Raw genomic sequence first — 25797 nt, forward strand, 5'->3', positions numbered from 1 at the left:
CCTCACAGTCTCCTGGGGTTGCTGGCCTCTTCACTGCATGCTATTTTGACCAGATCCTGCTTTTATCAAGGTGTTGGTGACCAGAAAAAGACTCCTATGGGCCTCCTACCTCGTCCTCATGCAAGTAAACTGCCTGTTTTACCTGGGACTTTACCTGGGACTACATTTTGTGTTCTCTTAGACATCCAACAGAGAAAATTCCAACAGTTCAGCCATATTTTGTATAGATAGATTACACAAATTTAATAGCTGAACTTTTAAATAAAGTCAGATTAATAGGTACAAGTCCAGGGCCTGATATGGCCACTTGCTGGCAATTGCTTGTTTAATTTGATTCATGGAGACAGCCAAGTTGGTCAATGTCAAACCCAATATTCACCCTTTGACCTAAACATATATCCTGTGTTGGTCAAATTAATTGTAAGATCTGTTGGTTTTCCTTTTAATCATTGAGGACAATATGTGAGACTCTGTAGAACTTCACAGAATCGACTGGCATGTCTCAGCTTAGAGTTTCCTGATTTACATCCTCAGGGTCAAAAGGCATATTTTATGTTAAATGTCCATGCCACACTCCTAATTTAGCCTTGACCAACTCCAAATAATCTACTCTTTTAGGTTAGTTGTAATTGTTATATTTCGACATTAATATTAAGACTTTATTCTTTGGTTTCTTTTTTAATAGGAGATTGGTTAACTGACTTGAATTTTTCACTGGGTTTATATTTTAATTGGATACATTAATTATTATTTGTGAGTTTCTACTAACGTTGGAAAACAGAGGGACTTAGAGCCATTTCAGTTAGAGAGGATAAGATTTCAGTACTCCTAGGTTTAAATGTGTGTGTGTGTGTGCACATGTGAGTCCTAATGTTATAAACTGAATGATTTCTGTGTGTTTAAGAAATGTGAGCCATTGGTCCTAGGTAAAGACAATGGTAAAAGCAAGAACTCTCCAAGTTATTGCCTTACATACCACAGACATTATGGCCATATATTTCCACAGAACAGACACCAGTGGGTTTTTGTTGTTGTTATTTTATTGAATGACTTGAAGCTTGCTAAATGACTTTACTGTCTTATTTTATCAGTATTTAAGCTGATAAAATGTCCCTCTAGGCTTTGGGAAGTCAAGCTATCTATTTTTAATTATTTACAATTTGCTTTAAGTTAATCTTCCCAAGTTGTTCCTGCATTGCTTATCTGATTTTCTTTCTTAGTTTATCTACACGATCCTAGGAAAGAAGGCCCTATATCTATGAACAGACACCTGCACTGTAGAATAAATACTAAAGTATTACCTTGACCCTGCACTAGGATGAAAGAGACTATGGACCAGCCAATATGATTGTCCATTTAAACAACTAATATTAGCACAAATCAAGTTCAGTTTGGTGTCTTCCATTAAACTCATTCATCAAAATAGAAAATGTCATTTCAGTAAGAAGCAAAATATACCCAAGAATATTTCTACAGTCCCTGGTAGGTATGATTACAAATATCAACAAATTCTCCACTTATCTGGTCGGTAGTTGATGCTACTTTCACTTACTCCACTGATATAGTTAAGGTCTTTTGGCCACAACTACAAGGTATGGATTAAAAAGTTAGAAATCATAAGGATTGTTTCTTTATTCTGCATGTATGATGAGCCTCCCAAAGTTATTGACTTTAAAGTTCTCAATTGTAGTATTATAAGTCACTTCTACATTTTGCTAAGTTTAATAATATTCTTCAATTTCTTTAAAATGTATTGATTAACAGCTGAATCATAATTTTTGTTGCTCTGTTTACTTGATGATCAAGGCCAAAGTCCAGTAAAAAGCGACAGGAAGTGTATATTCAGGTTGTAGATTTAGCATTTCTGTTAGATGAATTTTGTAACCTACAGTTTACTTAACAATATATAATTAACATTGTTCCCCATATGATTAAATATTTTTCTATATTGTCATATTGGTAAGATATTTCAGATGTTTTACTTTTCTACCTATTTAAATATATTTGTGTAGTAAATATAGAGTTAAACAATTTAAATTATTTACTGTTAGCAAATTCCTAAATTCCTAAAAATTGATTGCTGTTTCCAAGGACTTGTACAATTTTGAAAAAAAGTACATATACATAACTATATGTGTGTGTATATAAGTGTGTGTGTGTGTGTGTGTGTGTATATATATATATATATATATATATATATATATATATATATATTTGCTCTTTTTCCAGCCAAATATGTTTTAGTTAATTAAATTTCAGCTAGCTGGTTGTAAAGTTGGCTACGTTCTGAATGCATAGCATGGCAATACTAGGAGATTTTATATGTATATACATATATACACACACACACACACACATATATATATATTTAACAGTAAGATGACAATGACCTCATAGAAGTGATAATAGAAAATAAGAACTAATACATCTTGTAAATGAAAAATAGCAAAAATATATATTGAGAATTATCTTGGAAATCATATGAAGCTTCTCTTCTATGATCATTAATTCATTCACCTTTTTAAAAAATTATTTACTGAGCACCTACTATTTTCCAGGCACTGTGCTAGATGACTAGGATACAAAGACCAGTAGGCCATTATCTCAACTTTGTGTCTGTGCAGAATATGTTTACATAAAACAGATTCACTTCTATAAAATGGCTGCAAGAGATGCCTGAATGAAGTGTCTCTAGAGGGAGTGAGTGGGGAAGTTTGTGGAGGCTTTACAGAAAAAATAGTATTTGATCGAGCTCTACTAGTGTAAGTAGGAATTTGTCAAAATGCAAAGATATACAATGCAAACAGTAAAAGGTGTTTTTGTTTGATTTGTTTTGTTTTTAATGAAATGAGGTGGTAGTCAGAAGTATGTTTTGTGTCTACCTTGAATGTGGAGTCACCCACACCTTGCTAAGAAGTTCAGTAATTTGTGCAAAAAGTGAGAAAAAGTTTTTCAATAAAGGAGTGACAAAATGTTTGTACAAGGAAAGTACCCTTAATGGACTAAAGTAGAGGAGAAACTGGTGGCAAGAAAACAATAGGGAAACTGTTAGAGTAGGTCATAGGATAGAGGCCATGTCTTAGACGTGGTGAAAATGAAGAGAAGCTGATAAACCAACCAGCTTGTTACGCTGCCCAGTTCTCTCCCCTCCATAAAGCCTTTTTTAAATCACTCCAGCTGAAGCCAATCTCACCTTTTGCGCTCTTTGCTTGTACTTCCTCTTAACACCCACTTTACATTATCTTAAATTATAATACGTATGTCTTTGTCTCATCAGCTTACAGGACATAAGGCCTTTATTCATCTTGTATTCCCTTTAGTGTTGGCTATTGTATATACTATATAGTAGAAGCATAATATTTTTAAATATTTTATATTTAATATGATATTTAATGATTGGTAGTTGTAACAGCGTATTTGGCTCAGTGATAACTATTATAGCATTCATCACATTATATCGTCTCCCTGACAACATGGGATCAGACTCTGTCATCAGAGTTTATGGTGTATTCATGGTTCTTACATTACATAAGAGAAAAAAACATAGAGAAAAAAACATTAGAGGAAAAAAACAAAGGGCATCTTGCATTTGAGAAAATATAGGTTTTACTTTTACTACTTAAAAATAAAAAATGTTAGCTATCCTGTCATTTATGTAATCTGATATAAAACCTTTAACTTCTCTCTATATAGTATTGTGATCATTGTATTAAAATTTCCCATGTTTCCAAAAACTCCACTTAAACATTTGGAAATAGTTAACAATAAATAATGTGTAGATGCTTCAAAGATTTGTTTTTTATAATGTTATTCTTCACGTAATAATTTTCATATATATTTATCCAATAATTTAACCCTAGCTAATTTTATTTTTACCTTATTTATTTATTTATTTATTTATTTATTTATTTATTCATTTGAAACAGAATCTCCTTGTGTCACCCTGGCTGGAATGCAGTGGTGTGATCTCGGCTCACTATAACCTTGGCCTCCCAGGTTCAAGCAATTCTCCTGCCTCAGCCTCCTGAGTAGCTGGAAGTACAGGTGCCTGCCACCACGCCTGACAAATTTTCATATTTTTAGCAGAGACAGAGTTTGACCATGTTGCCCAGGCTGGTCTCAAACTCCTGACCTCATGTGATTCTCTTGCCTTAGCCTCCCAAAGTGCTGGGATTACAGGCATGAGCCACCGCACCCGGCCTCTAACTAATTTTATAAATTAAAATTTCAGTGACATTGTGTCCATGAAACACCAAAACTCAATTATATTATTTCAAAACATGTTATAATGCCTTACGGAACAGCAGCAAAAATAGGGGTCAAAGCATTTTGACTATTAACATGACTCTTTTGTTTTGACTTTTTAGGTTACACTTGAACACAACAATTTGTATATTAACACATATGCCATATTTAAATATCTGAATGCAAAAGGGTTCTACAATAAGGAGGAGTACTTTAGGCTCCTTGGAGAAAATTTTAAAAAATGTATTTTATGACTTTTTTTCACTATAAACTAAACAGCAAACAACCATACTCCAATAAAGCAAAGTCATGTCACTAAAGTTACTCAGCTATCAAACAACTTTTCAGAATCACCAGAACTGAAAGTAACACGTTTCCATGTGTATCTATTGATTGTCTGTCTTTCCCACTGGAAGGTAATACACTTTTTTCAAACTGTCTTTATACTCCCATAGCCTGTTAAATGACTGGCTCCTAGAAAGCAACAAATTGTTTGTGAAATCAATTAATAAAGTAAATAATTATTTAATCAATTAAAGTAAATAATTATTTAATCAATTAAACTACCACTGTGTTTACCAACAATCCTCAAACTTTAATGTGCATAGAAGTTATGTGCAGAACTTCATTTTAAAATGCAGATATCTAACTCCTGCACACATAGATTCTAATTCAGTAGGCTATGCAGTCTGTGACTGTGCATCTAACAAGGACACCAGTGTTTCTCATTTGGAGCAAAGATCACTCTTTAAAAATATTGATATAAATAACACTAATGAGATCAAGAAAACTTCTTGATTCAGATAACCTTTAGCAAATCTTTGGGCAATTAAGTGTTAATTGATTGTGAATAAAGAGGGTCAAATTAAATGAGCACTGCATGTACTATTAAAAAAAAAAAAGAAGAAGAAGACCTAAAGTGACCATGGGGCACTCTGGTAACTTCTCTGATTCTGTGCCTCTTAGATTTGTGAGGTCAGCATGAGTAGAAGGTAAAAGACAAATTTGGTAATATGGACAGATTACAGGACAGCCTATGGATCCAGTGTTCCAATTGGACTGCATTTGGTGTCACTATCCCATGGTTCAAACTGAGAGAAAAGCAGGGAGCAAAAAATCTAGGACAGATAGCACGGTAGCATCTCAAGATACAGACCATGCAGCTGTACTGACATCAAAAAACGGCCTGAGTGTGACATCTAATCTCAAGACAAACCTGTCTTTTTTCAGTTCCTATTTTAAGCTGCCTTTTTCATGTTAGTAAATGGGAACTAGGGAAGTATGTGCTGTTCCCAGAGTTAGATATGCTTTTGAGGTACTGCCCATTGTGGAAAGTTACATCTAAAACATTTATACTTTCTAATTCACCATAAAACCTTTTAAAAATACTGTACAAATTTATGGACTCTGAGCCAGTTCTACTAAATCAGTATTTCTAGGGAGCACACAGTGGGAATCCATATATATGAGCTATTTAGGTGATTTTGATGATTGACCAGGTATGGGAGCTGTGGCTTTCAAAAGCTTTGATAGATATTTCATTATTAGAAATATTACTGTGTTTATAAGGCGTCAGTCCTCTTCCCCCCATCTTTAGCCACACATTTCTGCCTCTGACACAACTCTTCTCCTCATCTGTTGTCTTAGTAGCCTTCTGTCCAAAATTATCTTGTTGTAGATTTGCTTTGTTATTCTATCCCTTTCCTATAGTAGCACTTTCCTGTATTCAGTTTTCCATCAATTTTGAGTCTAAGACTTATTTTTCTATCCTTTCTTTCTCTCTGAATAACTTATATCCTAAAGCACATTGAAATTGCATGTCATACTGTTATACATACCCCACCACTCTTTTTAAGTATATCCTCATTGGTAGTACATCAGCTGGGCTTAATTTCTAAAAACAAAATTAGGGCCCGATGGCTCAATATTTCTGAATAAGTAACCAAAATTGTTATTGTTATAAGAATGTAAGAAAAGGGTGACAAAATGGTGAATTGCTTTAACAAACGGAAAATGAGTTCAGAATGAAGCAGAATGCCTAAGACATTTTACATCTTGACTTGTTTTAACAAGATTCTAATGCTTTGTATTTCATTTATAGAATAGTTATAGCTTCCCATTGGCTCTGTGCTCCCATTTACTCAGCTACTGTAAATAATAGCCATCAGCAAAGCTTTTGAAATCTTCAGATGAAAGGAACTTAAATTAAGGAAGCTTCCCATGTGCATCCCTTCCCCCACAAAAAAGGATGCTAAGAAAACAAAGAACGGGGAGTACAACGGAATGATTGTAGTAACTGAATGCATTCCAGCTTTTGAAAACGATAAACATTTATTTTCTGACCTAAGTGTTGTTGTTTTTAATTTTTTTAACTTTTTTTTCTCAGTTGAAGCAGGCGATAGTGGATATTATCTTAAGATATGAAAGATATTGAAGGAGGCAGTATCAAGTCAGTTACACTATGTGGATTAATGTTGCAGTAGTTTCTTTCTTTGGTTATTGCCAAGCTAGTTGCTATTTTCAGAGTATTAGTCACATGCTTCTGTACCTGAGAGTGAAATTTTTCATTTCCCTCTAAAGATGATTCATTTTGTTTCTTACAGGAAGAACTTTGATAATAAATTCCAGTGTACTTTTAAAAATGTTCCCAGGGACTTAAAATGAACCTGCAAATATTTAATTTTATATTATCTTTTTGACATAGTTTGCTTACATAATCTACATATTTTGAATAGATGATTAGACCAAGGGAGCTTGCAGTAGATAAGGTTAAAATCTTAATGAAGATTAAACATCTTCTTTTAAAATCTCCTTATATTATTACTGTTGAGTGACAGAATAGATATTCAATCCTTTAAGCCAAGAATGTATAATGGGACTGGTATGTAATAAGTAAACTTGGGAAGCATAACTGGAAATACAGAAGATACTGAACTTACATAACAATGTGTCTGAACTTTAAACGTTTTTGCTTTCCACAGTCTGGCTTTCTCTCCTGCATTGTCCATATGTAAAGATGACTTAGCCAAAGCTCCCAAGCTCCCAAGAGTTGACAAATTCTCCCTTCCAGGGATTAACCCAAACCAAATTATAATATCTTAATCCCAATTCCAAGTTCCTAAAAGAGAGAATTTGTGACTGAGAGAAGAGGATACTCTTCTCCCTCTGCCAGCTAAGAAGATGTCTGAAGAGATGGCAGCTACAGATTGGCCCAGAAATTTAGTCAAATCACCCTATTATTCATGTTTTTTTTTTTTTTCTTTTATAGACAGAGTCTCCCTCGGTCACCCAGGCTGGGGTAAAGTGGTGCGATCATGGCTTACTGCAACCTCTGCCTCCCGTGTTCAAGCAATTCTCCTGCCTCAGCCTCCTGGTAGCTGGAATTACAGGCGATGGCTACCAGGCCCGGCTAATTTTTTTTTTTTTTTTTTTGGTCTTTTTAAAAGAGGCAGGGTCTCATCATGTGGTCAGGCTGGTCTCAAACTTCTGACCTCAAATGATCCACCTGCCTAGGCCTCCCAAAGTACTGGGATTACTGGCATGAGCCACCATGCCAGGTGATTTTTTTTTTTAACGTAAGACTTATAATTGAAAACAATTTCACATTCAAATTTTTAATTTAATTAAAACAACATGAAATACAAGTAAATAATTTTGGGGAAGAAAATACATTTATATAACAACACATATGTCTAATTTTATTGATCAGAGTGACATTTTAAAATGTTTTTTCCAGATATAAACAATGACTGTTTTTTGTTTAGTGAAATAGAAATTTAATTCTTCTTCTGCCTATAAAAAAAATTAAAATAACAAGATTTTTTTAAAAGAATCTCAAGGTATTTTTGCACATTGAGACTAATGTGAAGAAAATCATTTTCAGAATTTTTATTGTGAAATACAAACATGATTTTTTTTTCTGTAAAGCATATTCATTAAAACTATGCTTGGAAATTAACATTTCAGCAGAAACCACACATAAAATTTCAGTTTATTAAGACAAAAAAACTAGAGAGTTTGGGCTTTCTTGTTTTACTAATAATGACATTCTGTTTTATTTTCTGACAAGTTTACTGACAGGGCTTTAGAGGTAACTTAACAGTATCTGTACTTACCTGTCAGCCAGGAATGAGTCACTCCTGAATTTACTAAAAATGACATCATCAACATGGTTTAATAATGAACCTTGGGGAAGATTTTATGATACTGTGTGACACGAGACCCTCTCATTAGTGCCATAGGTTTCATTAGTACATGTCATTTTTTCCAACCTTTGCAGCATTACTGGTTGAATACAGCATATTCTGAACATCTCTACATTTGTGACATCTCTTAATGTCACATTTCTTTATTTTTACAAAAGCTGTTTATAGCTTGTTGGATTATCTAAACATGTTTAAAAGATGAGGAAATACTGTAAAGCAAGGAAAATGAGAAAAATTCATAGATTTGCAGGAAAAAAGAAAGAAAAACTACACAGATAACATTAGGCCAGGGAAATGCTTGTTTCCTGTTAGTCCTGATACCCGTGGAAGGCAAACTTCTATCAGGGCATGAGCCTGTGATTCAGGCTAGGGTTCTAAACCCAGCTTTGCCAGTAATAACCTATGTTACTCTTAACCTTTCTTAGATTCATTTTTGATATGTGTGATAGAGGATGAAAATTCTAGGATTCTCTTTGATTAGCACTGATTTTTGGGGGGGGACCTTTGTGAATTTGTCTTTTGTAGCTCCTCCTCCTTCCTTCCCTTTCTTCTCTTTCACAAATATTGATGGAGCAAATAACAAATGCCCTGTATCATAATGGGCATTGCAGATAAAATCAGGCACCTCATTTTATATATGTAAAGATAGATAATATAATTACCATACACAAGTAGATTCAGTCACTCCAAAGTTACATTTGACTCTATAGAAAATCCCTTTGGGAATGAATTTAACAAAGTCTGGATGCTGTTGTTTATTTGCAGTTAACAAGATAATGAAGAAAAATTGTCAGATTTGTGATTTAAGTACTTCCATTTATATTTTATGAATTATCTTAAGGAAGCAAAAGATCTACATTTTTTTTCAAAGGGGCCAGAATTAAAAATGTCCAGTACAGGTTTAGTCTTTTAAAAGCCAATGCAAGTAATAAAGGTTGTGTTAAATTAAGTCCAGTCCATCATTCGTCATTTTCAATTTTAAAGCTAACATTTACCATGTGCTAGTTCAAGCCAACTTTACAAAGCCTGTCACTGTGATATCTAATGTGGTGAATCCCACTTGAGTTTCTAATGTCTTCTCCTGACATTTCTTCAGGAGTGACTGATAGTGCCACAGGTCCAGATGGACTGAATAGTGGGGATTGATACTGATACAAATGAAGCTTAGAAACAAGAAAGAGTTATGGAAAACACATCTTAGTGAAAGATCATGTCTTATTCTGATGACTTGTTTAAAATACAACATAATTTTTCCATGATGTTAGAGAGATAACACATTTCCATGTATATTTCCATAAATGTTTCAAGTAAAAATGGGTAAATAAGCACTAAAAGATATCATTCACATGCACACAGTTATAAGGTTATATCTGCAAAATTTATAACTATAGATATCACATCAAAATCAAAATTAAGAGAACAGATATTTTTAAAAACCTTCTTGTTTGTCAGGTGGTTACTGAACTACTTGTCATCATAGGACTAATTTGTCTTTCTAAAGGTAAAATCATGACAGATATTAAGTGTAGAATGAAGGTAGGAGTATTCAATACATTTTGTGGTATTGGTTTAGACACCAGGAAAGCTCCTGGGAAAATTCCATATGCTAGTGAAACTATAAATTGCATTGAGTGTTTATTGGTTTCTGTCATGGTATAGTAGGTATTGGTTAGTGATTTTTTTAAAAAGGAAAATTCATTTGTTTGTAGCTTTCATTTCTCAGTTATGTGTTTTCAGGAAGGTGCATTTGTCTTATGAAGGTGGTATAAAGGAACTACTTTAGAATTCAGTTCTCATCACAAACAAATATCTTAATGTAATATATTTATTTTTTCCCAGGGAAGCCAGAGAGGCATATGATATCTGGTGAATAACTATGGCCTACCAATCGTTAAATAAAATGGACACAATTTACTTTTACTTCTTGAAAAAAATTTTCCCCATCAAAAGGATCATTAATTCAAATAAAATTCAAAGTGGTGTATTTAAAATACACACTTTTCTTCTAGTAATCTCAAAATCAACCTGGTTTGTACAACATAAAAGATGTAAACTCTCAATCATATGAAATTTTCTTTCACTGCATTAATATTCAGTGAAGCTTGTGATTTTAGCAAATCTCTTCTGCTGGTTTAGAGGGAACAACAAAATATCAGGCTTTTAGGGTGTGCTTCCAATACTGCCCTGGGTAGACATGGGGAGAATTCAGGTCATAGAATTTAATGACTTTTTTTCAAAAGCAAAACACATGCACACTAATAATTTAAATAACCTTTCTTGTCAACAATAGAAATATGTAACACAGCAATAGCTGATTAATAGCAAAATTAATGGTGTAGGCAATAATTGCTAAAGGAGTTCACAAGAAAAGATTGCTTTACTGGAGAGGTGAGATACACATTAATGCAAAGTTAGGAATTGAGCTGAGAAATGAAGAATGGAAACAGGGCAGGAAAGTCATTCTAGGATTAAGAAGTGTGAGAAATGCCCACAGCTAAGGCAGAGGGATAAGAAAGTAAAATGATCGTTTTTAAGATAAGAATGAGCATGGCTATATGAAGGGTATCTGTATAGAGTAGAAAAACTAGAAAATTAGCTTAGAGTCAGGATATGATGACTTTTGAATGCCTGGCTATGTGATTTTGTCTTTATCTCTTAAATCAGAATTTCACAGAGCACAGTCTTCAAAACAGTAGTTTCATAAGATGTGATAGCTATTCCTCGGGGATGCAGTAAGGGCGTGAGTGAGATTTTGAAGTTCAAATATATTTGGGAAATTCTCAATGAAAAAAAAAATTTCCTATAATACACCTTCATGGCGCTATGGTTGTATTAATGTGCATTGTGAAACTCCAAGAGGAAGACAGAGACCAGATGAACCCCCAAACACATTTGAATGTGAAATGTTTTTCCCGTGAATCATCCCACAGCGTAGATGTGTACATAGAACAAAACTTAGGAAATACTGTTTTTTTTGTCGCTGTTGAGCAGGAAGGTGAAGAAGTTTTATTGGCTCTATTGTGTGCCAACAGTTTATTAGAGAGTAAGAATGTAGAGATACATAAGAAGTACACATTATCTTGAAAGAGCTCATAGTGTAGTTATAAACAAACCCCCCAAAAGTGTGACAGCACTTCATGCATGCAATAATAAGACTCCAAAGGGAGAGGCAGGCATACTGTAGTGTTTAGGCACATGGACTTTGGATCCAGACCACTGATGCTTGAATTTTGGTTCCATCACTAACCAGCTATGTGGTATTGGATAATATACTCTCCTTTCTGTGCCTCAGTTTTTTCACCTGTAAAATGGACAAACTAAGACCAACTCCAGATGGTTACTATAAAGTTTATAATGCATATAAAGCATGTTAACAGTCTGGTATGTAATAACTTCTATGTAAATATTCAGTTATTATGTAGTATAAAAACTTTATAATATAAAAATATAATAATATAATATAGAAACCTTATAAAATTGTAATCATATTATAAAAACATTAACATATAAAAACATAAATGCCTTCATGTCTTCCAGAAATATGAAATAATTCTACATTTCTCAAACATACTATATGAAGAGTTAAGAGATGAAAGATGAGGCTGGAGAGATGTAGATGTTTTACTGAAAAGTTTGCACTTTATTGTGTAGGTGAAGAGGAGTCAAGGAATGATTCTAGGAAGAAAATCATGATCAGATTTATAATTTCAAAAAGTTATTCTGGTGACAAGCGAAGAGGCTCTTGCTCTTGCAACACATGTTTAAGAAATGGGGGCCTGTACCAAGGCTGAGTCAGGTAAAATGGAGAGAAAATATCTAGTCCAAAAATATTTAGGGAATATAATTATAAACCCATGATGATTGAAGGGATGCGAAGGAGAAGGAAGAATTGAGAATACATGTTGAGTTTGTAGCTCGAAATACTAAATGAAAAATATCATCACTAATCAATTTTGGAGAACAAAAGAGGAGCAGAATGAGATGTGGGTTAGGAACAGTGCAGGAAGACGAACAGTAAGATTAAATTGTTGTCCTTTCAAGTTTGAGGTCCTAATGGTACATACAGGGGGATCTACCTAAGAGATAATTCAGACATATATCTCGAGCCATGGAGCAAGATTTTATTATAGCTAGAGGTAAAGATTGGTAAGTCACTACTATACCACAACATATAACATGTAAAGACAGGGGAAATGATGAGAATGCCTACACAGACCATATACTCAAGACAGGAGGAACAGCAAGGGTATGATCTGAGAAAAAGAAATACACAACAAAAAGTTTAAGACTCGAATTATGCAAATGGTGTTTTGGAAGTTGTCGTATGCTCTATTAATGTTCAATTCAAAATGGGACTTCCATTGTTCCCTCAGGAGTCATTGTGATCAACACTCCCCTGCCCCCCAACAGACACACACACATGTGCACATACACACACATACACACAGAATCCAATGTTCTTACTTATTGACGGACAGAATCAGAGACAGGGTACTCTTTTTCCCTCCTTCTTGACATTATTATATAGATTTGTTTCTTCAAATAATTCCATAGTACATATTTGAAGACCACTATCTACCAAACACGGTGACTTGAATATGCAATATGTGGAGTATTTAAATTACATGATATGAGCGCAAAAATACCTTAAGGAGAAAAAGGTATTAGAAAAAAAGAGACAATGATATGTCAAGTATTACTCTGTACATGTTTCTTAAGAAGGAGGGAGGCTGGAAGGTCACGCTAAGAGCAAATGCACATGCTGCTCTTTCTATGTAAGTCTCAGGGTCATTGCTACATATTTTAATAAGACCAAGGAAACATATGTGATTTATTCCAATTTGGAAAACAGAATGCTGCTGGGAAATGATGTGGCATAGTGGAACAAGGCGTTGGTGTCAGAGAGATCTTAGTTGGCTTTATAGCATCATCCCTTTCTTGGTAAAGAACTTTGGAAAAGATATTTAACCACTGTGTGCCCCTATTCCTTCATATGAAAAAAGATACAATGTAATATTCACCTCAGATTGTTTATCAATTTACTAGCTGATGATCATTTGGCTATTATGTTATATACTATGGCTCTATGAACATTGATAAACATTTTTGTAGACATATTCATATTTTTCTTCATAAAATATCTGTTTGAGATTGCTAGATAATATACAAATGTTTAACTCTATAAGAAGGTGCCAAACCACTTTCCCAAATTTTTTGCCGCATTTTGCATTTCTGCCAACAATGTATGAGAGTCTAGTTGCTGTAACATCCTTGCCCAAATTTGCTGTGGTCAACTTTTGTACTTTGAGTCTAAAGGACGTGTAGTGATCTTTCATTGTGGTTTTAATGTGTGTTTCTCTTATGATTAAAAAATGTAAGCATCTTTTCATGTTTTTTGGCCATACTTTTTTTTTGGTCAAAATTATGTTTAATCTTTTGACCATTTATTTGATTGGGTTGTTTGCCTTATAATTATTCAGTTGTATGAGTTCTTCATGTATTCTAGATACAAGTTCTTGTTCTTTATCTAATACATGTTCTGCAAATATTTTCTCCATCTGTGGCTTGCTTTTCATCTTCTTAACAAAGTCTTCCTAAGACAAAATTTAAAAATTTTGATCAACTACAGTTTATCATTTTTTGTTTCAAAATTTTTGCTTTTTAATCTTATTTTGGAAGTGTTTACCTTATCCAAAGTCACATAAATCTATGTTTTTCATAATTTTTTGATCTTGGCTCTTATGTTTAAGTTTATACTTCATTTATAGTTATTTTTATGTGATATGAGATAAAAAGTCAAGGTTTATTATTATTCCTTTTTGCACATGGATATTACATCCAACTATTGTAGTGACAGTTGTTGAAAAGATCATCTTTTTTTATTAAGCATACATTTGCCATTTGTTGAAAATCAACTGACCAAATGTATATTGGTCAATTTTCAAACTCTGTATTGTTTTCCATCAGTCTATATGCCTGTCTTTATGACAACATCACACTATTTTTACAATGTAGCATTATGTTATGTCTTTAAATGAAATAATGTAATTTCTCTAATTATGTTCTTATTGTTTAAAATTCTTTTTTGGCTATTATAGGTTCTTTGGGTCCATGTAAATTTTAGAATCAGTTTGTCAATTTCTATAAAAATATGTTGAAATTTTAATTGAGATTTTATTAAATATGTAGATCACCAATAGTAGTATCTTCATAATAGTGTGTCGTCTAATCCACGAATATGGTATATCTCTACATTTATTTATGTCTTCTTTAATTCTTTTTCTTATTATACTTTAAGTTCTAGGATACATAAGCACAACGTGCAGGTTTGTTACATATGTATACATGTGCCATATTGGTGTACTGCACCCATTAACTCATCATTTACATTAGGTATATCTCCTAATGCTCTCCCACCCCCCTCCCCCTACCCCACAACAGGCCCTAGTGTGTGATGTTCCCCATCCTGTATCCAAGTCTTCTCACTGTTCAATTCCCACCTATGAGTAATAACATGTAGTGTCTGGTTTTCTGTCCTTGTAATAGTTTGCTCCAAATGATGGTTTCCAGCTTCATCCATGTCCCTACAGAGGACATGAACTCATCCTTTTTTATGGCTGCATAGCATTCCATGGTGTATATGTGCCACATTTTCTTAATCCAGATTATCAATGATGGACATTCGGGTTGGTTCCAAGTTAGGAAAAGAGGAAGTCAAATTGTCCCTGTTTACAGAAGACATGATTGTATATTCAGAAAACCCCATCGTCTCAGCCCAAAATCTCCTTAAGCTGATAAGCAACTTCAGCAAAGTCTCAGGATTCAAAATCAATGTGCAAAAGTCTTCTTTACATTCTTACAGCAATGTTTTGTCTTTTTCAATGTAAAAATCTTGAGTGTTTTAATAATTTATCTCTATACATTTCATGTTTTTAGATGCTACCATAAGTGGTGTTTTTTAATTTAAATTTTCAGTTGTCCACTATCCTTAAAGATCATTTATATAGACCCCATGAGGAAATGTCATTTTTTTTTTCATTTTTACTTTGTTTGATACCTGGTCACTAGTTCAACCTATTCTTTTGTCATGACTTTTTTTCTAGAACTTTACTTCAGATCCAGATTTTGGTGGCCTCAATACATTTCAGTTCACATTTAACAATGATACAAAAGTTTAAAAGAAGAAATATTTCCTTTATAACTATAGTTTTCTATCAAATTAGGAAAATTAATTGGAAAATAGATAATGAGAGCCTGATATCAGGGCACTCAGATCTACGCTTTGAGTGACTATGTGTATATGTGGGGGAAATATAAGGAAATACATAATTTAAAAACTTTGTAAGAAGAGGAAGGATGAGTACCAATATGCAGAAAGTATATGAAAATATACTAGAAAGAACATAACAACTAATATTTGTTTTTTACTCCAAAACTTTCACAGTACATTCTTGAGCATCATGTAATCTGTCAGCTATGTTACTTATTATTTTACAGATGAAGAAATTGGGTATTGGAAATATAGTACATTTTTTAATATTATGGAAATAGTAATCAGTGCCTAGGCCTTGTGAGTCTTAGCTCTTTTGACTAGATGGGTTTCCTCTCAGTTTACCTAGATAGGACTTTTGCAACTCATGTACCTAATTGCATCTTTCAAGATGTATATGTGGATGTATTTATCCCTGGCTAAGCACCATCTAGCAACCAGATGGTCAGATAGGTAAGCTTTCATTAATATATATTCACTTCAAACAATATTGTACTACCTTTTATTTTTTACTTTTGTTCCATCTGCTCCAAAAGTATCTTAAAAAGAAGGCTTCCCTAGCATTGTTCAATTTTCTCATAAACAATAAAGGGACTGATTTATAATAGCTTAATTGGATTATAGCTAAACTTTATAACTGAGTCACTGAGAAGTTACACATTTAAATCAAACAAACAAATGCAAAATAAATTCAGAGTTATTGCATTAATATAAGCTTCACACAGGTTCCTCTCTTGAAAATTCAGAATGGTTGTCTTATGATTGGGTTATTCTCAATCTTACTCTTAAGAGTCTCAGTTCTGTTCCTGCATTGTAAAGGTCTTGTGCCATTTCCTTTTCATATGTATTGCAGAGAGCTTAAGAATATCACTATACTTTATGAAACTGGCAATTAATCTGTTTCCAATACTTTACTTTTGTATTTGGACTCAAATTCATTATTTCCACCTTTCTTACTCCTTTAAAAATTACATATATTGTATTACATCAGTCCTCTTGTTCCTCCATATGTTTTCCTTTTCTGTTTCTGCTTTTTTCCTTTCAGCCTGAAAATAATTGTCTGGCTGACTTTCCTCTCACCCTGAGCTTCCCACCCTGTGCGGTCATCAAGACTTTTTGTATTGCTAGCTTTTAGTAAGGCTACACATTCACTGAAGCTGTAGTGTTTGAAATATATTCCAGAATGCTTTCTCCACACAGTTTGGGAGCTGTTAATTTTCTCAGGAAATTTCATCAGTTTTGCTTTCTGGTAGAATGTTATTCTGGAACACCAGCCCAAACTCCTAATGCTTCCATTTTAAGATTTTTTAGGCCACGCTAAAGCAGCAGCCCTTTAAAGTCTACAGCTTCCAGGAAGCTTTGCCAGCACTCCCTTACTGGCAGATCACTTTACTCCAGATCACTTGTTCTTGTGTTCACATGTTAAACACAAATTCTCAGCTTTTAGTTAGTTTTGTTGAAATCTTAACTAATGAAAATGTGGCAGTTGCTTGCAGTAGAATTTTGATATTATATGTGTTAAGTAGATATTGTGACTACTAGCACCACCTTCCCAATACTGTAATTATGAAGAATGTTTATTTAAGAAGTAAGACATTTAAAAGAAGATTCAGTATTCATAACATTGATATAATTGATAGTGGCTAATTAATAGAAATCCACTAAGCAATCCATTGAAATTATAAGGAACTATTTTAGCATAATAAAACATTGAAGAATTAGTGAAGACTATGGTTAGATTATCTACAGTACCAAATATTAATATTTCATTTAGATAAATTATTTTTTAACTAAAATTATTTTTCAGCAGAGTCATCAAATACTAACTAAACTATAATTTCTTCTGGGTTAATTTGTTCACCTATGTCTACCTTTGTATATTATTAGAAAAAAATGTGTGGTTAATTTTTCTAATTTTTGATATATAATGTCAATATTTGTGTTCAAAATATATGTACATATGCATACATACTTATGTATACACATACATAAATCTAGAGAAAGAATAATCTCAAACTTTTCAGAATAACACATGTGAACAACCAGATTATATATTTTTTATTATAGCTTAGTAACAAATTAATCCCTTTTCATGCAAATTGTCCTTAAAATTCTAAAGCAGCATTGTACTACAGTTTATAAAAAAACACCAAAAAAAGATTTTGTAGTTGATTGGAAAAGAGAAATTTATGTTACTGCTTGTTAGTAGACACTTCCTAACTGCATATTTTAAATAAATATTTCTTGTTGGCTGATTAACATTGGCTTACTAGGAATTTTTTTTTTCTATGGAAGGCTTAGATGAATCAATGTTTCCGAGATGCTTTTATGGCATTAGCATGTATGGCACTGTTTTAGTCCTTAAACCAATTGATTATGTTTCAGATATTTCCTAAGGCAATTTTCTTTTTTTTTTTTCAGAACATGTACAATAAGTTAATCTATTAAACTGAAGTTCATTTTTTTCCTCTTATGTTTAGTCTGATGATGAGGTTCTAAGTCTCTAGTGCTAGAAAAAGAAAACAGAAAATACAAATAAAACCTTCTACTCATGGATAATTTCATCTCACTTTATCATTATTGATGCTTTTTTCATTTTGAGAATGGTATAAGTGTGCCATGCTTTAAAACAAACAGTGACAAAAAAGATGCACTATAATAGTTAATTTGTATAGAGAGTGTGATTCCAGAGGCAGAAAATTTATGATACTCTATATTTGAAAAGAGTTTAAGTGGATTATCCTACTTTTCACCTGGATCAAAAACCATTTGAGATTGTTCCAAAAAATTTTCAGTCAACTGTCAAAAAGTAATTACCAATTGTCCAATTACCATTACTCCCATTTGACTATTTTGTTATTATGGATCATTTAATTAACATTTATTGATTATACGTATTTCAGTTTTCCTCTGCAATGCAATTCCTTCCATAATTATTGGTGCATGTTTAACTGAATGGTCTTATGATAGAGTAATTACTAGAACCTTGTATCACATTTTGATCTTATCTCTCATAAGCTTCTCTGCTACATTTCAGGCAGTCTCACAGCCATGCTCAGTACTTATCAAATGTCATGTCATCTCCGCAAATCACTAATTTAGCATTTTAGTTTGTAGCACAAGTTGGATTCTTGAAGTACCCTCACCCATACGATCATTCTTTCATTTTGTTGTCACCACTTTTTCCTTGATTCCATTGTCATCGGCCTCTCTTCATCCCTTAGTTTGATTGTTGAAATATCCACATTTAATTATTCTTCCACTTCATCATGTCATCTGGTGCTTTCATACTACCATCATGGGCCTTTCCTGATTCATTAGCTTCTCTCACCCTTCCCTTCTGCCTTCTTTTCAATTCTTAACCAGCTTAGATTACATGGATCATCATGTCAATAAGTACATGTCAATATCCCAATTTCCCTTGCCCCATTAGTTCTGGCCTTCCAATCAAGAAAATCATCAACCCCCAATGAAGTCAACTATCTGTGTTTTCTGTCCTATGTCAGTGCAGCGTAGCTTAGCTAGTAACAATAACAATGTACATTAAACTACTACCACTATAACTACTTTATATTTGTTAGCTTTGACAGGACTATCAACATTGCCATGTAATCATACTATGTTTTGTCTCTCCTACCCTCTGAAAAGATTATTTCAAGCTTGCTCTATTCTCTACAAAACTCCAAGTCCCTATTACTCCCTTCATTCTGAAAATGACCTGGCCTGAACAAAAACAAAAACAACACCAAAAAAGAGAAGTTCTTGTAAAAGCTTTCAATTTTATATGGGAGACAAATAAAGTTACAGGGAGCTCTTCAAAGCAATTTTCTTAAAGTGGTGCTGTCATACCCCCGCCTGCATCTGCACTATCCACTCCTTATCCCAGAGTTATTAAATCCAATAAAAGTTTTTGGGTATTCTGCCTACTTTACCACAACTTCCTTCTTGCAACACTGTTTTATTTTTTTCTATACCAAGGTAAATTTTTGTTCTGCTCCTACCTCTCTGCACCCATTTTAACAAGGCCTTTGCTTGCCCATTTTTCTCTACTTTTCTGTTGAATGTTGGGATCTTCTAGGCTCAGTCTGGGCTCTCCTTTCCTTTTCATTCTGTAGTCTTCTCCAGACCAACTAAATTGATGAATGGCATTAGGCCAAAACCTGTCATTCATGCCAGTGACCCATGATTATATCTCCAGTCCAGTTCTCTCCTGACATTCAGAGGAATATATTCTTTATCTTCTAGATATTGTCACAGATGTTCAGAAGCACATCAAATTCAGCTAAGTCCAAAGCTACACAATACTACACCCCTACCTTCCTTGTGTGTTCCATTCTTAAAGAAAGGGACAGGCATCCATCCGTTTACAAAATCAGAAACCGAGAAGTCATTCTGAACGTCTTTGTTTCTTTTGCCCTTTATCCAATCCACTAGCAAGCCATATTGATATATTTTACCTCCAGAGATATCTGAGTAACTGTTTCTCCACATTTCTACCATTATGACACCCAAGTACAGCTGCCATCTATCTTCTCTTGCCAACATTGCTTCAATAGTATCAATAATGTTCTCTGTAACCTGCCCATATCTTCTCTTAGAGCTCTTTTTTTATACATATATAACAGCCAGAGAGAGTTTTGAAAAGCTAATATTATTACTAACCTGTTTATTTCTTAAAACCATTCTGCCCCACTTCGTTCTCCAGCTACATTGGCCTTTAATCAGCTGTTTAATGTGCCAAACCTATATCTGCCTCAGAGCCTTTGCACATATTTTTGCCTCTACTTCAAGGGCACCCCTACTCACACACACATAGCTCCATTGCCACCACCCTTAGCTATCATTTTTACATAGCTCAAAAATCACTTCTTCATAGCAATCTCCCTTGACATTCCAGATAAGATTAGTCTCCTGCAATTGACTTTCATAGTATTACATATATGTTTTTCATAAAAGCTGGTTTAACAAGTAAGTGTGTATTGATCCAATGATAAAATTCCATGGCAAACAATCAGTTCAATTCAGTAAACATTTACTGAGTGCCTACTATATGCCTGACCCAGTGTATTGCTCTCACAACCAGAGAAGACAGCCACATCTTTTAAAATAAGGAAAATTATGCTTTCAAAGAAAAGTACAACCCTCATTTCAACTGACTGAATGTTTATCAAGTACTTATCATATGCAAGATACAAGGGAAAGAAACTCTCTCTGGAGGGACTCATAGACTAGCAAAAAAAAAAAAAAAGCAAGTACTTTAAAAATAATTATAATCAGTTATACATGATGCAGGTATTTAGAAAGCCTTGTTTTTCCTTTGAGGCAGAGTCTCGCTCTGTTGCCCAGGTTGGAGTGCAGTGGCGCAATCTCAGCTCACTGCAACCTCTGCCTCCAGGGCTCAAGCAGTTCTCCTGCCTCAGCCTCCCAGGTAGCTGGGACTACAGGCATGCACCACCATGCCCAGCTAATTTTTGTATTTTTAGTAGCGATGGGGCTTCACCATGTTGGCCAGGCTGGTCTCAAAACTCCTGACCTCAAGTGATCCACCTGCCTCAGTCTCCCAAAGTGCTGGGATTACAGGTGTGAGCTACTGCAGCCAGCCTAGAAAGCTTACAGATCAGAAAAGCTCAGGTCAGTCCTGATAAATATTTTAAAATAAATACCTCTTAAATAGATAGGACATCTCATTCCTAACTCTATGTTATCACAGAAAATATTGTGCCCCTCAGGCAAGAAAAAGTTTAGTCTGTGGAAATCAAATTTCAAAGAGACTTATACAGAATCATACATGTGCTTTTTCCTGGTTGTTAGAATAAATCTGAACTAATCATGCCCCATCCCCCTCATTTCTCCTAGCTTTTCATTTTTTCAGATGACTGAAAAGATTTATTGAGACCTTACGGCTGCTCACTGCCTAATAAAGTTCTCCCTCAGTCATCCTGCTAATTTGGTTGACTGGTCTATTTTTAAAAATTAGCAGTTTTCAGAAACAGCCTCCAGTATTGTGGCTGTAAAAAATCTGTTGAGAAGAAATAAAAGGCTAAAACAAAATTTAATACTGTAAGCAAGTATAAATTTTTTGGAATGATATACGATCCTGTGTTGTGGCAGTTTGGTCCCCGAGGCAGGAAAGAAAGCAATCTGGTTTTCTGAAACATTCAAATTTCTCACCTAAGCTCAGCTAAGAATACATCATTATGGGAAGCAGAGTGGAAACGCACCATTTTATCCTTTAATTTACAGTGTCAGTGGGAACAGCACAACACAGAGTCAAGAGTTCAAAGAGAGAAAAAGATCTGGCTTATGGTGGATATAAACTTAATTTCTTTGAACCAGGAGTCTAGGCCCTGCTGTGTAGATTTAACAATAGGCATTCTAGACTTCTTTTAATGGCCCTTTATTTTAGAAATAGGATAAAATATTCATGTTAAAAAACCCACTAAATATCCACTTGGTAAAAGCCCGATTCAAGAAACATTTTTTGTTGGATAATCAAGTATTTTACTTGTTTTAAGACAGAACAACTTCAGATTGTCCTTCATTTAATATAAAAGGTCAATTCTGGTTTCTACCTCAGTTGTGATATTAATCTCTCCATTTCATTCTAAATCCTATTAAGAGAGTAGAAGCTTAACTTTATCATATTAATGCCAAGATCTGGGCAAGCATTTATCTAGATATAAACAAGGATATATGCCTTTCAGAAGGTTATATCCTCATTGTGATAATGAAGAAAGGGGCTTATATGTTAACTACTGTGATTCCACAAGACAGAGTGTTTGGGAAGCCCCCTTTCACATTTTTCTAACCTGATAAGCAAGAAAACATAAGAAGAAATTATTTTGAAATACAAAAAAAAAGAAAACAATGAAAATGTGGCTCAAGTATAGGCTACTTTCAGCAACCAAACTGCCTTGTACTGGACCTAAGAGGCCATCTGCTGTTCCAATGGGTCTCAAACCAGGCGGTTTGTTAAGATCACCTTGGGCAGGGGTTGGTTTTTAGAAATACTCATTACTCAGATGACCCCAACACAGAGATACTGGTGAAATTTTCTGGGTGGGGACCCTGGCATGGGTGTTTTTTATTAGTTCCCAGGTGGTGTTTATATTCAGCCAGGCTTGAGAATCACTGGCATGTCTGACTCCAATTCACCAATCTATCAATTAAGCAAGGAGCAACATTCAGGTTAAATAAACAGCTTAGAGTATCAGAGGCTCAACTCTGAGAATGCCATGTAGCCCTCATCCGTACCCCACTCCATGAGTGGCTGTACTCTTTTATTTACTCAATTGTTCCACCAAACAAATACATTGTTTTGATATTTTAACTATTGCTGGAACAAAGCATTAAGTTATTCAAGCAGGCGAGAAATTCAGTGGAAAAAAATCATGTGTTAAATAACTTGCTTGGCTAAACTGACAGTTGGTTTCTGCTGAATATTGAGTCAGGAAACCCTTACCCAAATCCTCTGTTGATGAAATAATATATCACTGTACCACTGAATCTCTCTGTCTTTTAAAATATATATATATAATTGAATATGAGCAAATCTCTGCATTTATATTTTCTTCCAAAAAAGTACTGTTCCTGTTGTCAAATTGGAACATATTGTACTTCCTATATATATCACCCACAAGTCATTTTTAAACCTGGATCACTGTCTATCCTGAAATAAAAGGTCTACTACTAGGAAGGGGCGGCTTTATCCTCCTCCATTCCTCAAAGCTTCAAATTCCCATCTGCTATGCATTGCTAAAGGGCCTGGTGATGAATTTCCCATTGCTTTTGCATTTAAAAAAAATAAAACTAAAAGAATTGGTCAAAGAAAAGAAAATCCTTTGTCTATGACTTATATGAAATCTAAGTATATTTAGAATATAGTCCAATCTCATTTGTACTGGCAATGTGTTACAAGTCTTTTTGTATACTAAGGAATCTCTTTGTAATCCATTTGACCAAGCAGCAGGATCCAATATGAGACCGCTCTTGGTGCTCCTCCAAATGGGTGCAAAACCACTAGAGCATTTTGATTCACAATGTGGGGAAGATGTTATATATGTAAAGCACACATATATGTACATGTGTATATATTTTACATGTACATGCATGTATGTGTGTATATATGCATATATACATATTACACATGATGTATATAGAAAATCTGGCAGGCTAGTAACCCAGTGTATCCTCTCCTGTGAGGACACAGAAAAAGATAAAAACCAAAAACACGATAAAAAGCTAATGGTCACAACCTATAGTAAGAATCTAAAAATTCCACTAACAATCAGGCTTTTGGAACCAGATTAAGGAAACTAAAAATGGCTGGCCTAAATAAACTTCACTCCCACTGCCCCTCACTGCCTGACAAAAAATAGTAGGAAGATATTATTTTTTTCTTTCTTTTTTTTTCCCTCCCTTCATCTTACTAACTAGAGAATCAGGTTTATTCTACAAAAAAAAAAAAAGAAAGAAAAAAAGAAAAAACTGAAGAGCTGTTCAGTTTTTCCATGATGGCTCTGAATTTCCTAGTTTCTAAACCTGTTTCTTTTTTTTAAATGCTGGCAAAAGTGAGGTACATTTGTGTTGTTATGAGTACTACATGTGATTAATCTATGCAAGGCCTTTAGTTAGTGCTTAGCATAGAATATTTACTGTATAATTATTAACGATTAATATTGCACTGCAAGAAGCATACTTTCATAAGCAGACATTTTACTAATTTTTACATCTACTCAGAGATTAAAAATTACAGAAAACTGAGATAAGCCACAAATTTATAAAGAAAAGACCCACTACCAGTGGTTCAATAGAACAGGCTCAATAGAGCAGTGCCTGGTAGGGTGGAGGTGCTCAACAATTATTTGCAGAATTAATGATAATAGGTCTTGATAGAGAGGGAAAGAAAAAAGAAAGAGCTTGGTGATGGTGCGTGTTGAAAGAGCAGTTTTCTGGGTACTGTAGAAGTTCAGCTTGCTGGAGACAATCATACCTCAGTACAGCAGAGAGGTACTGGGTGCTTACTTGTCAAGAACAGTTTCAGAAGGGTGCATATCCATCGGGGTGAGGAGTAGGGGGAAGGGGTGTCTATGAAAGGAATCTGCTCAATCTGCAAGTAGAGAGTAAAATCCGTCATTTGTCTCTTGATGAGTACGGAGGCTGGATAAATTTTCATTATTGGAGTATAGGTAAGAGGGAAAAAAATTAATTCAAACTTTTTAAGAAATTATAAAGACCAAGGGAATAGAACATCATTTTGAAGATGATTGCTGGCAAAATCATACCTCTGAAAAGTATTACCATCAGAATCCCGCATTATTAATCATTCGACATACATAAAATCATGAGCTCTATGTGACATCGGCAGAGACTTGTAAGAGAACAAATTGAACTGTGGAGTGATATTGCTGTAATAATAACAATATATGTAACAGTTACAGTAAGAAGTATAATTATGATTATTAATAATGTGGCAAGTACGTGTATTTGATCCTATCAAAAATAAAATGCATCAATAACGGTAATGATTATGTCACTGAAATACAGTTAAAATTATGAAATTATCTTGCAATTGTTATATTTCCTAATCATAGCATATGCAAGTCAAGTGCCTGCCACTTCTGTTAATGTCAGATATGACTGAGGGGTGATGCTCAACTATCAATAACAGCAACAATGTCAGCTGTCCTTTCTATGTGTATTGAGCATTGTTACCACTAATGTCATGGCAATTCTAAATGTAGATAACTACCTCTTCTCTAGAGATGATGAAACTGTGGCTCTGAAAGGTCAGGCAATTTACCTAGAGATAATGATGCAGGAAAAAGCTGTGTCTGTGGCCAGGACACTTCTGCATTTTCACTGAAGTGACCTGCACACACACAACACTCTCTGAAACTCAGGTTTCTATTTTGCATAATGGAAACATGAACACATTCATTGCAGTGCTATTTTGAAGACAGAATGAGAAAGGCAGTGTGAAAGTGTTTTTAAACATTTCCGTGCTGTTGGATCACACTCTCTGTGATGACACCTAAGCATCTGCATTTCCCAAAGATTCATAGGTGATTGTTAATT

General features: G+C 34.2%; 1 protein-coding gene across 2 annotated transcripts in view, besides 2 other annotated features; it reads left to right on the plus strand.

The window, feature by feature from the left end:
• KCND2 (potassium voltage-gated channel subfamily D member 2) overlaps positions 1-25797 on the plus strand; it is a 477430-nt gene that overhangs the window by 122917 nt on the left and 328716 nt on the right. The window lies entirely within an intron of this gene.
• Positions 41-130: an enhancer, noted in NCBI's record as "active region_26553". NCBI's record gives its function as "activates an Ori minimal core promoter by ATAC-STARR-seq in GM12878 lymphoblastoid cells {active_cell/tissue: GM12878}" and the evidence as "EXISTENCE:reporter gene assay evidence [ECO:0000049][PMID:35858748]".
• Positions 191-250: an enhancer, noted in NCBI's record as "active region_26554". NCBI's record gives its function as "activates an Ori minimal core promoter by ATAC-STARR-seq in GM12878 lymphoblastoid cells {active_cell/tissue: GM12878}" and the evidence as "EXISTENCE:reporter gene assay evidence [ECO:0000049][PMID:35858748]".

This window comes from Homo sapiens, chromosome 7, assembly GCF_000001405.40.
Source record: "Homo sapiens chromosome 7, GRCh38.p14 Primary Assembly".
NCBI classification, from domain to species: Eukaryota; Metazoa; Chordata; class Mammalia; order Primates; family Hominidae; genus Homo; species Homo sapiens.